Source organism: Homo sapiens, chromosome 3, assembly GCF_000001405.40.
Source record: "Homo sapiens chromosome 3, GRCh38.p14 Primary Assembly".
Taxonomy (NCBI): Eukaryota; Metazoa; Chordata; class Mammalia; order Primates; family Hominidae; genus Homo; species Homo sapiens.
Genome location: NC_000003.12, coordinates 49,447,689 through 49,460,121, shown reverse-complemented (window position 1 = coordinate 49,460,121; position 12,433 = coordinate 49,447,689). Strand labels below are relative to the sequence as shown.

At 50.2% G+C, this 12,433-nt stretch overlaps 2 annotated features.

The window, feature by feature from the left end:
* Positions 437-1,192: an enhancer, noted in NCBI's record as "H3K27ac-H3K4me1 hESC enhancer chr3:49496363-49497118 (GRCh37/hg19 assembly coordinates)". NCBI's record gives its function as "activates a minimal SCP1, AML or CMV promoter by ChIP-STARR-seq in naive H9 embryonic stem cells {active_cell/tissue: H9 hESC(naive)}" and the evidence as "EXISTENCE:reporter gene assay evidence [ECO:0000049][PMID:30033119]".
* Positions 10,998-11,137: an enhancer, noted in NCBI's record as "active region_19871". NCBI's record gives its function as "activates an Ori minimal core promoter by ATAC-STARR-seq in GM12878 lymphoblastoid cells {active_cell/tissue: GM12878}" and the evidence as "EXISTENCE:reporter gene assay evidence [ECO:0000049][PMID:35858748]".

The following is a 12,433-nucleotide window of genomic DNA, read 5'->3' as shown; positions in this document are numbered from 1 at the left end:
CACTGCAACCTCCACCTCCTGGGTTCAAGCAATTCTCCTGCTTCAGCCTCCCGAGCATCTGGGATTACAGGTGTGTACCACCACACCCAGCTAATTTTTGTATTTTTAGTAGAGACGGGGGTTTTGCCATGTTGGACAGGATGGTCTCAATCTCCTGACCTCAGGTGATCTGCGTACCTTGGCCTCCCAAAGTGCTGGGATTACAGGGGTGAGCCACTGTGTCTGGCCTTCTGTTTGCTTTTCTTCCTAGGAATAGGATCAAGCCACAGGAGTGAATAAGGAAAGAGGAGGGTGGGGAAAGAGAAAATTCAACCCAGGAATGAGGAGTCGGGGGGAGTCCTGAGGTGGGGCCGAGCAGCCTAGGAGGATAGCCTTTGGGGGAACCTCTGGAAGGAAGAGGAGAGCACTTGGTTCCCTCCCTACTCCCAATCCCCCAACCCCACACATTCTTTCCCTGAAGAATTCCAGCTGCATTTGCATGCATGAGAACCAGGCAGTCCCTTTGGCATGGACATGCTTCCGTCCCCGTTTCCTGGGTACCCTCCCTCAATTCCCTCCCACCCGCACCAGCTCTCCTTTCCCATGCTTAGGCAACTAGAGAGCTTCCTCACCTGCTGCTGCCAGGCCTCCTCCCTCCCTCTTCCTGCAGCTGTTCCCAGACAGCTGGATGAGGGTGGGACACTGTCCCTGGCTGACCTGCCACAACCTCCCCCTCCCCTGTCTTGATGGCTTTGCTGCCCACCCTTGCAGATGTCCTTGGCCTCAAATTCTGGAGACCCTCCCCCACTGGCCACCACAGACGTGGGCTGCCTACCCGCTTGCCTTGCCAGCAGCAACAGCTGCTGCTGTTCCCAGGCTCCTCTAGGGCCAAGGTCCCCCTGCCTCCTATCGGCCTGAGGTGCCAGCCTCTACCCTGCACCCCCCGTGTCTTCTTGGGCCTTGGTCGTCTGAATACCTTCTCCCTCCTAAGAACAATGGTCTGCAGAAGGAGGGGCTACAGGGCCCTGTCCTCAGCTGGAGACTCTGCGTGCAGCACACTGCTAATCCAGTCCACTGTGGCACCAGCCAGAGCTAACTTCCAAACCCAAATCTACCTATGATCCTGCTCTGCTCAGCATTCTTCCTGTCTTCCAGCTGCTGGAGGACAAGGATCCCTCACGTGCCCCCTGACCAGCCTCCTGGTCCTATCCCCTCCACTTTACCTCACCTCTTCCTGCTTCTTCACCCTCCACTTCTCCCCATGCCTCTCCACTTCCACATCTTTCTTTTTTGAAACGGAGTCTCGTTCTGTCGCCCAGGCTGGAGTGCAGTGGCATGATCTCGGCTCACTGCATCCGCCTCCTGGGTTCAAGCAGTTCTTCGCCTCAGTTTCCCAAGTAGCTGGGACTATAGGCACCCGCTACCATGCCCAGCTAATGTTTGTGTTTTTAGTAGAGACGGGGTTTCATCATATTGGCCAGGCTAGTCTCGAACTCCTGACCTTGTGATCCGCCCACCGGCCAAAGTTTTGGGATTACAGGTGTGAGCCATTGCGCCCGGCCATGAATGAAATTTTGATTGAAAATTAGGCCTCTAGCCAGTCGCGGTGGCTCACACCTGTAATCCCAGCACTTTGGGAGGCCCAGGTGGATGGATCGCCTGAGGTCAGGAGTTTGAGACCAGCCTGACCAACAAGATGAAACCCCATCTCTACTAAAAATGCAAAAATTAGCTGGGCGTGGTGACCGGCACCTGTAGTCCCAGCTACTCAGGAGGCTGAGGCAGGAGAATCGCTTGAACCTGGGAGGTGGATGTTGCAGTGAGCTGAGATCGCACCACTGCACTCCAGCCTAGGTGACAAAGCGAGGGTCTGCCTCAAAAAAAAAAAAAAAGAAAAGGAAAAAAGAAAATTAGGCCTATTGCCGGGCATGGTGGCTCGTGCCTGTAACCCCAACACTTTGGGAGGCTGAGGCGGGTGGATCACCTGAGGTCAGGAGTTCGAGACCAGCCTGGCCAACGTGGTGAAGCCCCATATCTACTAAAAATACAAAAAATTGGCCAGGTGCGGTGGCTCACACCTGTAATCCCAGCACTTTGGGAGGCCAAGGCTGGTGGATCACCTGAGGTTGGGAGTTCGAGACCAGCATGACCAACATGGAGAAACCTTATCTCTACTGAAAAATACAAAATTAGCCAGGCGTGGTGGCACATGTCTGTAATCCCAGCTACTCTGGAGGCTGAGGTGGAAGAATCGCTTGAACCCAGGAGGCAGAGGTTGCGGTGAGCCAAGATCTCTCCATTTGCACTTCAGCCTGGGCAACAAGAGCGAAACTGTGTCTCAAAAAAAAATTAATTAATTAAAAATACAAAAAATTAGCTGGGCATGGTGGCATGTGCCTGTAATCCCAGCTACTCCGTAGGCTGAGGGAGGATTGCTTGACCCCGGGGGGCGGAGGTTGCAGTGAGCCTAGATTGTGCCATTGCACTCCAGGCTAGGCAACAAGAGTGAAACTCTGTCTCAAAAAAAAAAAAAAAAGAAGAAAAATAGGCCTCTTGGATATTTTAGTCTGTGCTGGAGACCTGTAGCTTTCTGGAAAGACCTTCCACAGAGTCCCATTGGCAATTTTGAGCCCAAATTCCACAAGCCCACACACTTTCAAGGACATGCAAGGATGTCCAGCCTCCTGCAGGATAAATTAAGCCCCACCCTCACCCTACCCTAAGCAACAGGGACCTCCATGTGAGAAGGCCACATGGAGGAGGAGTTGGTCAAGACTTACCAGTCTCCTCCTCTCTCCTCGACCCCCATAGATACTCTCACTTGTGAAGGTTCCTCTTCCACCTACCCAAGTTTTGCCCACCCCACTCAAGAACAACACCCCCAAGCCTTCCTGACATCTGACTCCTCATTGTCTAGGAAACCTCAAGCTTCTAGAGGGCAATGATTGCCCTTGATAATAAGTTACCATCGGGCCGGGCGCGGTGGCTCACGCCTGTAATCCCAGCACTTTGGGAGGCCGAGGCGGGCGGATCACGAGGTCAGGAGATCGAGACCATCCCGGCTAAAACGGTGAAACCCCGTCTCTACTAAAAATACAAAAAATTAGCCGGGCGTAGTGGCGGGCGCCTGTAGTCCCAGCTACTTGGGAGGCTGAGGCAGGAGAATGGCATGAACCCGGGAGGCGGAGCTTGCAGTGAGCCGAGATCCCGCCACTGCACTCCAGCCTGGGCGACAGAGCGAGACTCCGTCTCGAAAAAAAAAAAAAAAAAAAAAAAAAAAAAAAAAAAAAGTTACCATCACTGAGCGCTGTCCTATATCTTTGGCACACGATATCTCACCATGCCTTCCAGCAACCCTCTGTCACAGTTATTATTGGCCCCACGTTACAGATGAGAAAACTGAGGCCCAAAGGTTAAGTCACTTACTAAAAGTCCCATAGCCAGTAAGTGGCCAAGCTATGGATCTGTGCTTATCTTTGTAACCTTTACTGGGCCTGGCCCAGAATAAGAATTCCACTAATGCTTGCTGAATGAGTCAATGAATGGATACAATTCCATCAAAACTATAGCTACCAGGACCTATCCAACCCTAGGGCCCAGGACACAGAGGCCTTGGAGCCATGTAAGGGGCTTCCAGACCAGTCCAGGAAGAACAAGGCTAGGTTTCTGTCCCTCTCCCACCTTGGGCATGTGGCCAGCAGCTACTTTGAACTTACCTTGGTGGAGTCTTGACACTGTTGAATTATGGGAGTAGTTAGGATCCAGAGACAGAGAGAAGAGGTTGCAGGGCAACATCAGTAAGGAAGAAAAGGCAGAGGCCTCCAGGTTGGCTCACCCCCTTAAAAAAGCAGCAAAAAGGCTGGGTGCAGTGGCTCAAGCCTGTAATCCCAGCACTTTGGGAGGCCAAGGCAGGTGGATCACCTGAGGTCGGGAGTTCAAGGCCAGCCTGAGCAACATGGTGAAACCCCGTCTCTACTAAAAATACAAAAATTAGCCGGGTGTGGTGGCGTGCACCTGTGATCCCGGCTACTTGGGAGGGTGAGACAAGAGAATCGCTTGAACCCGGGAGGTGGAGGTTGCAGTGAGCCAAAATAACACCACTGCACTCCAGCCTGGGCAACAAACAGAGCGAGACTTCCTCTCAAAAAAAAAAAAAAAAAAAAAAAGCAGCAAAAAGGCCTAGGGCCCATTGGATGAACAAAGATATTCTCAGGGTGGCCTGATTATAGGGTCTTCTGCAGTTCTGGGGTTTAGTCTAAGCCCACTTCAGTCGTTATTTGTACTCAGGGTAAGGAATTGGGAGGAGGGCAGGGAAGTAGCCAAATCAAATCATAAAGCCCTTTATTGAGCACCTACTCCATTCCTAGACATTCAAGAAGGCAAAAAGCTGAGAAATAGAAGTCATAGGCAGGGCAGCTGAGAAGCATGTGTTTCTGCTCTTGGGTAGCAAAAGCTGCACCCAGGAAACAAGGAGGTGTGAGGGCCTGGTCTGAGAAGGCCACATGGAGGAGGGATCACTGTAGTGGAGTCTTTGGAGAGGGGAGCAGCTGAATTTCCTACTGGCTTGGTGAACTCCCAGGAAGAGTTCAGCAGTAGCAGGACATGTCCAAGCCTGGTCAGATGGACAAGAATGGTGCAGAGGTGATTGTCCCAGCAGGCCTTGACCAGGCATCCTAGACTTTGCTGGAACTTGCCTGACTCTGAGCAGAATGATCTGGAGTATGGGTCAAGCAGGGGGAGCACAGGGAAAAAGATAGGGGAACTGACAAGAGAGCCATCTGGGCAGCCTCCTGCTGGGCCTTGCATTGCCCCACACAAAGGTCATCTCATTCCTGATTCCTTTCATAATGAAATAAAAGGTGCCCATAATGAGGCCCATGGTGGGACGTGGTGGGACCTGGTGGGGCCCAGTGACTTCAGCAGCAGGACATGGGTCCCAGGAAATCCAGGGAAGCACAGGCATTCTTTGGCTCCCTGTTCCCAGCAGCTGCAGGAAGCTGTTCCAAGCTGCTGGCTCTCCCAGCAGTCCCCAAGGACCGGAGAAAATCTTGTTTCCTGCCATCCCCCCTAATTGGACACAAAGAGTCCTGGATGGGGGCAGCTGAGTACTCCATGGCATGCCCCAGGGAGATCATGGGCTGCCAGACTACATTTAGGAAGGCAGTGTGGAGCCTGTCTCGAGACCAAGCCAGGGAAGGGGATACCATGGATTTCATAACTTATGGTAGGGTCTCCAACCTTCCTTATCTCCATTATCTGAAAAAGCTATAGACAATTTTTCCAGAAACACACCCTCTACACACACCATATTGCTGCAATTTAAAAGAGTCCCTGAAAGTTCTGCAGTACTAGGAGCCCCTGCAATGTGCTTAAGGTCAGAGAAATTCCAGTGTGGTTCTGTCTCAACTGGCTGTGAGCCCTGGGCCCACCCTTGGCCACCTTGACTTGCACTGCCCTCTAGAGCCTGAGGGGTTGGGCTAGGAAAGCCTTGAGAGACTCACCTGCTCTGCCACCTGCTTAGAGCTACTTCAAATCATCCTACAAGAGACAGTGGAAAAGAAATGGCAGCTTCTGGCTGGGTATGGTGCCTTGCGCCAGTAATTCCAGCGCTTGGGGAGATCTAGGTGGGAGAATTGCTTTGCTTGAAGCCAGGAGTTCAGACCAGCCAGGGCAACATAGCAAGACCTTATCTATAAAACAAAAAAAAAAAAGAAAAGAAAAAAAAATTAGCCAGACATGGTGGCATGCATCTGTAGTCCCAGCTACTCAAGAGGCTGAGCTGAGAGGATCCTTTGAGCCCAAGAGGTCGAGTCTGCTGTGAGCTGTGAACATGCCATTGCACTCAAGTCTGGGTGACAGAGACCGAGTTTCTTATTTATGTATTTATTTATTTTTGAGACAGAGTCTCACTCTGTCACCTAGGCTGGAGTGCAATGGCTCAATCACAGCTCACGGTAGCCTCAACCTCCCAGGCTTATGCAATCCTCCCACCTTACCCTCCCAAGCAGCTAGAACTATAGGCACATGCCACCACGCTTGGCTAATTTTTTTGTTTGTTTGTTTTGTTTTTTTACAGGCAGCCTCCTGAGCCAGAGTAGACTCCGAAACACCCCTTGCTAATTTTTGTAATTTTTGTCGAGATAGGGTTTTGCTATGTTGCCCAAGCTGGTTTCTAACTCCTGAGCTCAGGTGATCTGCCCGCCCTGGCCTCCCAAAATGTTGGGATTTCATGCATGAGCCACCTTGCCTGGCCAAGACCCTGTCTGTCTCTGTCTGTCTGTCTTTCTTTCTTTCTTACTTTCTTTCTCCCTCTCTCTCTCTCTTTCTTTCCTTTCTTTCTTTCTCCCTCTCTCTCTCTCTTTCTTTCTTTCCTTCCTTCCTTCCTTCCTTCTTTCCTTCCTTCCTTCCTTTTCTTTCTTTCTTTCTTTCTTTTTTATGGAGTCTTATTCTGTCACCCAGGCTGGAGTGCACTGGTGTGATCTTGGCTCACTGCAACCTCCGCCTCCGCAGGTTCAAGCAATTCTCCTGCTTCAGCCTCCCGAGTAGCTGGGATTACAGGCTCCTGTCACTGCGCCAGGCTAATTTTTTTGTATTTTTAGTGGAGACAGGGTTTCACCATCTTAGCCAGGCTGATCTTGAACTCCTGACCTTGTGATCCACCCGCCTCAGCCTCCCAAAGTGCTGGGATTACAGGCGTGAGCCACCGCTCTTTCTTTTTTGTTTTTTTGAGACGGAGTCTTGCTCTTGTCACCCAGGCTGGAGTGCAATGGGCTCACTGCAACCTCTGGGTCCCAGCTTCAAGCAATTCTCCTGCCTCAGCCTCCCCAGTAGCTGGGATTACAGGCGCCATCCCTCCCAAACCACGCCTGCTTAATTTTTGTATTTTTAATAGAAACGGAGTTTCGCCATGTTGGCCAGGATGGTCTTGAACTCCTGAACTCAGGTGACCCACCCGCCTTGGCCTCCCAAAGTACTGGGATTACAGCCGTGAGCCACTGTGCCCGGCCAACCCTGTTTCTAAAAAAAAAAAAAAAAAGAAAAGAAAGAAAGAAAGAAAGGTAGTTCCAAACTCAGTTGAGAAGCTAGGCCTGCACTTGTGAGTACAGAGCAGTCCACGCCCAATAGATTTGCCTAGACTGTCAACATTGCTTCCTTACCTTCTGCCCGTCCAGATGGGTCTGGCTGCCAGTTTGTGGACTCCTGGAGGCTTTTGAGGCTCTGAGCTCTCATCCACAAACACACACATCCATCACTAATCCTTCTGTTTTTCCTTTTATTTATTGGCAGTATCAGTCACTCACTACATTTATATGTGTGTGTGTATGTATGTATGTGTGTTTGTATGTGTGTGTGTGTGTGTGTGTGTGTGTGTGTATATATATATATATTTTTTTTTTGAGACAGAGTCTCACTCTGTCATCCAGACTGCAGTGCAGTGGCGTGATCTCAGCTCACTGCAACCTCTGCCTCCTGGTTTCAAGTGACTCTCCTGCCTCAGCCTCCCTAGTAGCTGAGATTACAGGTACAGGTACAAGCTGACACATCCAGCTAATTTTTTTTTTTTTTGGTTTTTCTTTGAGACGGAGTCTCACTCTGTCGCCCAGGCTGGAGTCTCATGGTGCGATCTCAGCTCACTGCAACCTCCGCCTCCCGGGTTCAAGCAGTTCTCCTGCCTCAGCCTCCCGAGTAGCTGGGATTACAGGCATGCACCACCACACCCAGCTAATTTTTGTATTTTTTTTTTTTTTGAGATGGAGTCTCGTTCTGTCACCCAGGCTGGAGGTGCAGTGGTGCAAGCTCGGCTCACTGCAAGCTCCGCCTTCCAGGTTCACGCCATTGTCCTGCCTCAGTCTCCCGAGTAGCTGGGACTACAGGCGCCCGACACCACGCCCGGCTAATTTTTTTGTATTTTTAGTAGAGACAGGGTTTCGCTGTGTTAGCCACGATGGTCTCGATCTCCTGACCTCGTGATCTACCCGCCTCGGCCTCCCAAAGTGCTGGGATTACAGGCGTGAGCCACCGCGCCCGGCCAATTTTTGTATTTTTAATAGAGATGGGGTTTCACCATGTTGGCCAAGCTGGTCTCGAATTCACAACCTCAGGTGATTCTCCCGCCTCGGCCTCCCAAAGTGCTGGGATTACAGGCATGAGCCACTACGCCTGGCCAATTTTTTGTATTTTTAGTAGAGACAGGGTTTCCCTATGATGGCCAGACTGGTCTTGAACTCCTGACCTCAGGTGATCCACCCACCTTGGCCTCCCAATGTGTTGTGATTACAGGCATGAGCCACCATGCCTGGCTTTTTGTTTTGTTTTGTTTTTTTGGACAGATCTTGTTTGGTGGCCCAGGCTGGAGTACAGTGGGGCGATCACGGCCCACTGCAGTCTTGAACTCCTGTGCTCAAGCAATCTTCCCACCTCAGCCTCGCAAAGAACTATTTTATTTTATTATTATTATTATTTTTTGAGACAGAGTTTCGCTTTTGTTGCCCAGGCTGGAGTGCCATGGCGCAATCTCAGCTCACCGCAACCTCTGCCTCCCAGGTTCAAGCAATTCTCCTGCCTCAGCCTCCCGAGTAGCTGGGATTACAAGCATGCACCACCATGCCTAGCTAATTTCGTATTTTTAGTAGAGATGGGGTTTCTCCATGCTGAGTCTGGTCTCGAACTCCTAACCTCAGGTGATCTGCCCACCTCGGCCTCCCAAAGTGCTTGGATTACAGGCGTGAGCCACTGCGCCCGGCCTATTTTATTTTATTTTATTTTATTTTTTTGAGACATAGTCTTGCTCTGTGGCCCAGGCTGGAGTGCAATGGCGCAATTTCAGCTCACTACAAACTCTGCCTCCCGGGTTCAAACAATTCTCCTGCCTCGGCCTCCTGAGTAGCTGGGATTACGGGCGCCTGCCACAACGCCCAACTAATTTTGTGTGTGTGTTTTTAGTAGAGATGAGATTTCATCATGTTGGCCAGGCTGGTCTCGAACTCCTGACCTCAAGTGATCCACCCACCTCTGCCTCCCGTAGTGGTGCTGGGTTTACACTGCACTCCAGCCTGGGAGACAGAGCGAGACTCCGTCTCAAAAAACAAACAAACAAACAAAAGCTCTATGAGAGGAGAACCTTTGCTGTATGTTTCTGTGAGAAAAGTGTTCAGTAAATAATAGTTTTTTATTTTATATATATATATATTCGTTTGTTTTTTCTTTTGAGACAGAGTCTTGCTCTGTGGTGCCCAGGTTTGAGTGCTGTGGCGCGATCTTGGCTCACGGCAGCCTCTGCCTCCTGGGTTCAAGCGATTCTCCTGCCTCAGCCTCCCGAGTAGCTGGGACTACAGGTCATCATGCCTTGCTAACTTTTGTATTTTTAGGAGAGACGGGGTTTCACAATGTTGGCTAGGCTGGTCTCAAACTCCTGGCCTCAGGTGATCCACCCGCCTTGGCCTCACAAAGCATTGGGATTACAGGTGTGAGCCACCGTGCCAGGCCTATATTTATTTATTTTTTTTAGAGACAGGGTCTCACTATGTTGCCCAGCCTGGCCTCAAACTCCTGGGATCAAGCAATCCTCCTGCCTCACCCTCCCAAAGTGCTGGGATTACAGGCATGAGCCACTGTACCCAGCAAAATATTTGTTAAATAAAAAAAATCATAAAGCTGAAACTAGATCTATATACAATTTGGCAGAAGGATTCTATGACCACTCATCAGCTGTGTGGCTTTGAGCAAGTTATTCAATCTTCCTATTTTTCCATTCAGTTTTCTTACCTTTCCACTCAGTTTCTTTTCTTTCTTTTTTTTTTTTTTTTTGAGACGGAGTCTCGCTCTCGTCGCCCAGGCTGAAGTGCAATGGCTCGATCTCAGCTCACTGCAACCTCCCCCTCCCAGGTTCAAGGGATTCTCCTGCCTCAGCCTCCCGAGAAGCTGGGATTACAGACGCATACCACCACGCCCGGCTATTTTTTGTATTTTTAGTAGAGACAGGGTTTCCCCTGGCTGGGCATGGTGGCTCACGCCTGTAATCCCAGCACTTTGGGAGGCCGAGGCGGGCGGATCATGAGGTCAGGAGATCGAGACCATCCTGGCCAACATGGTGAAACCTCTTCTCTACTAAAAATACAAAAATTAGCTGAGCGTGGTGGCATGCAACTGTATTCCCAGCTACTCGGGAGGCTGAGGCAAGAGAATCGCTTGAACCCAGGAGGTGAAGGTTGCAGTGAGCCGAGATCACATCACTGTGCTGCAGCCTGGCAACAAAGCAAGACTCCGTCTCAAAAAAAAAAAAAGAGCGAGACGGGGTTTCACCATGTTGGCCAGGCTGGTCTCAAACTCCTGACCTTGTGGTCCGCCTGCCTCGGGCTCCCAAAGTCCTGGGATTACAAATGTGAGCTGCCACGCCTGACCCATTTACTACAAGTTTATGCATACATCCTCTGAGGGCAGGAGTTCTTACCTTGAAGGCTGTGGGCAGTCTTTATGGGTCTCTGGAAAGAAAGAGAGAGAAGGAAGGAAGGAGGGAGGGAAGGAAGGAAGGAGGGAAGGAGGGAGGGAGGAAAAGAAAGAAAGAAGAAGGGAAGGAAGGAAGAAAAAAAAAGGGCTGGGCAGAGAATGAATGGGCTTGCAAAATACTCTTTCAGCCAGCCATTTCCAGAATTCAGGTGTGGACCATACAAAAGGGAGCCTGGCACAGTGTTGTTATTTTTCATTGTCTTGGTAATGCTAGGACATAAGAGCAGAGAAAAACCTTTGGAAAGTTGGGGATCCGAGGTTAAGGTAAGGAATATCATTCCAGGCCCCATCAGCCTTGGATAGATGAGCTTGATTCTCAGAGGCAGGTGATGCTCCATCTTCCAGCAGATGGCGCTAACTGTCCTTATTATATCTGAGGGTTGCCAGGTTAGAGACTGTTCTCGGAGACCTGAGATAGGGACTGGTCGCAGGAAATGGTGCCAAGGAAACGGAAGGTCATCATTCACTAATTAAACACCAACTAAACACCTATGTGCCAAGGCCTATTCTAGACACTGAGAATTTGGCCATGAACAAGACAAAGTCCTACTTTTACAAGGGGTGCATTTTAGAGATGTGTTGTCAAATATGATAGTCACCAGTTTACACATGGCTACTGAGCACTTGAAATGTGGCTAGTCCGCGGGACGCGGTGGCTCATGCCTGTAATCCCAGCACTTTGGGAGGCCGAGGTGGGCAGAATACGAACGAGGTCAGGAGTTCGAGACCAGCCTGACCAACATGGTAAAACCCCGTCTCTACTAAAAATACAAAAATTAGCCGGGCGTGGTGGCGGGTGCCTGTAATCCCAGCTACTCAGGAGGCCGAGGCAGGAGAATCGCTTGAACCTGGGAGGCGGAGGTTGCAGTGAGCCGAGATCGCGCCACTGCACTCCAGCCTGGGCGACAGAGCGAGACTCCATCTCAAAAAAAAAAAAGGGCCAGGCGCTGTGGCTCACGCCTGTAATCCCAGCACTTTGGGAGGCCAAGGCGGGCGGATTGCCTGAGCTCAGGAGTTCGCGACCAGCCTGGGCAACACGGTGAAACCCCGTCTCTACTTAAATACAAAAAATTAGCCGGGCGTGGGTGCCCCTATAGTCCCAGCTACTTGGGAGGCTAAGCCGGAAAATCGCTTGAACCAGGAAGGCGGAGGTTGCAGTGAGCCGAGATCGTGCCACTGCACTCCAGCCTGGGCGACAGAGCGAAACTCCATCTAAAAAAAATAAAAATAAAAATAAAAGAAATGTGGCTAGTTCAAATTGAGATGTGCTGTAAGTGTAAAATATACACCAATGTCAAATATTTCGTATGGAAAAAATGACCTAAACTAATATTTTAAACATTAATTTTTATGTTGAAATGATCATCTTTTATATACAAGTGAAATATCCTATTAAAATAAATTTAACCTATTTCTTTCTTTCTTTTTTTCTTTTTTTTTTTTTTTGAGACGGAGTCTTGCTCTGCTACCCAGGCTGGAGTGCAATGGCATGATTTTTGGCTCATTGCAAACTCCACCTCCTGGGTTCAAGTGATTTTCCTGCCTCAGCCTCCCAAGTAGCTGGAATTACAGGTGCCCACCACCACACCCAGCTAATTTTTGTATTTTTAGTAGAGACGGGGTTTCACCATGTTGGTCAGGCTGGTCTTGATCTCCTGACCTCAGATGATCCACCTGCCTTGGCCTCCCAAAGTGCTGGGATTACAGGCGTGAGCCACCGTGTCTGGCCTCACTATGTCGCCCAGGTTAGAGTTTAGTGGCATGATCATGGCACACTGCAGCCTCCACCTCCCAGGTTCAATCGATTCTCATGTCTCAGCCTTCCCGAGTAGCTGGGATTTACAGGCAGATGCTACCACACCCAGATAATTTTTTTTTTTTGAGATGGAGTCTCGCTCTGTCGCCCAGGCTGGATGGAGTGCAGTGGTGCAATCTCGGCTCACTGCAA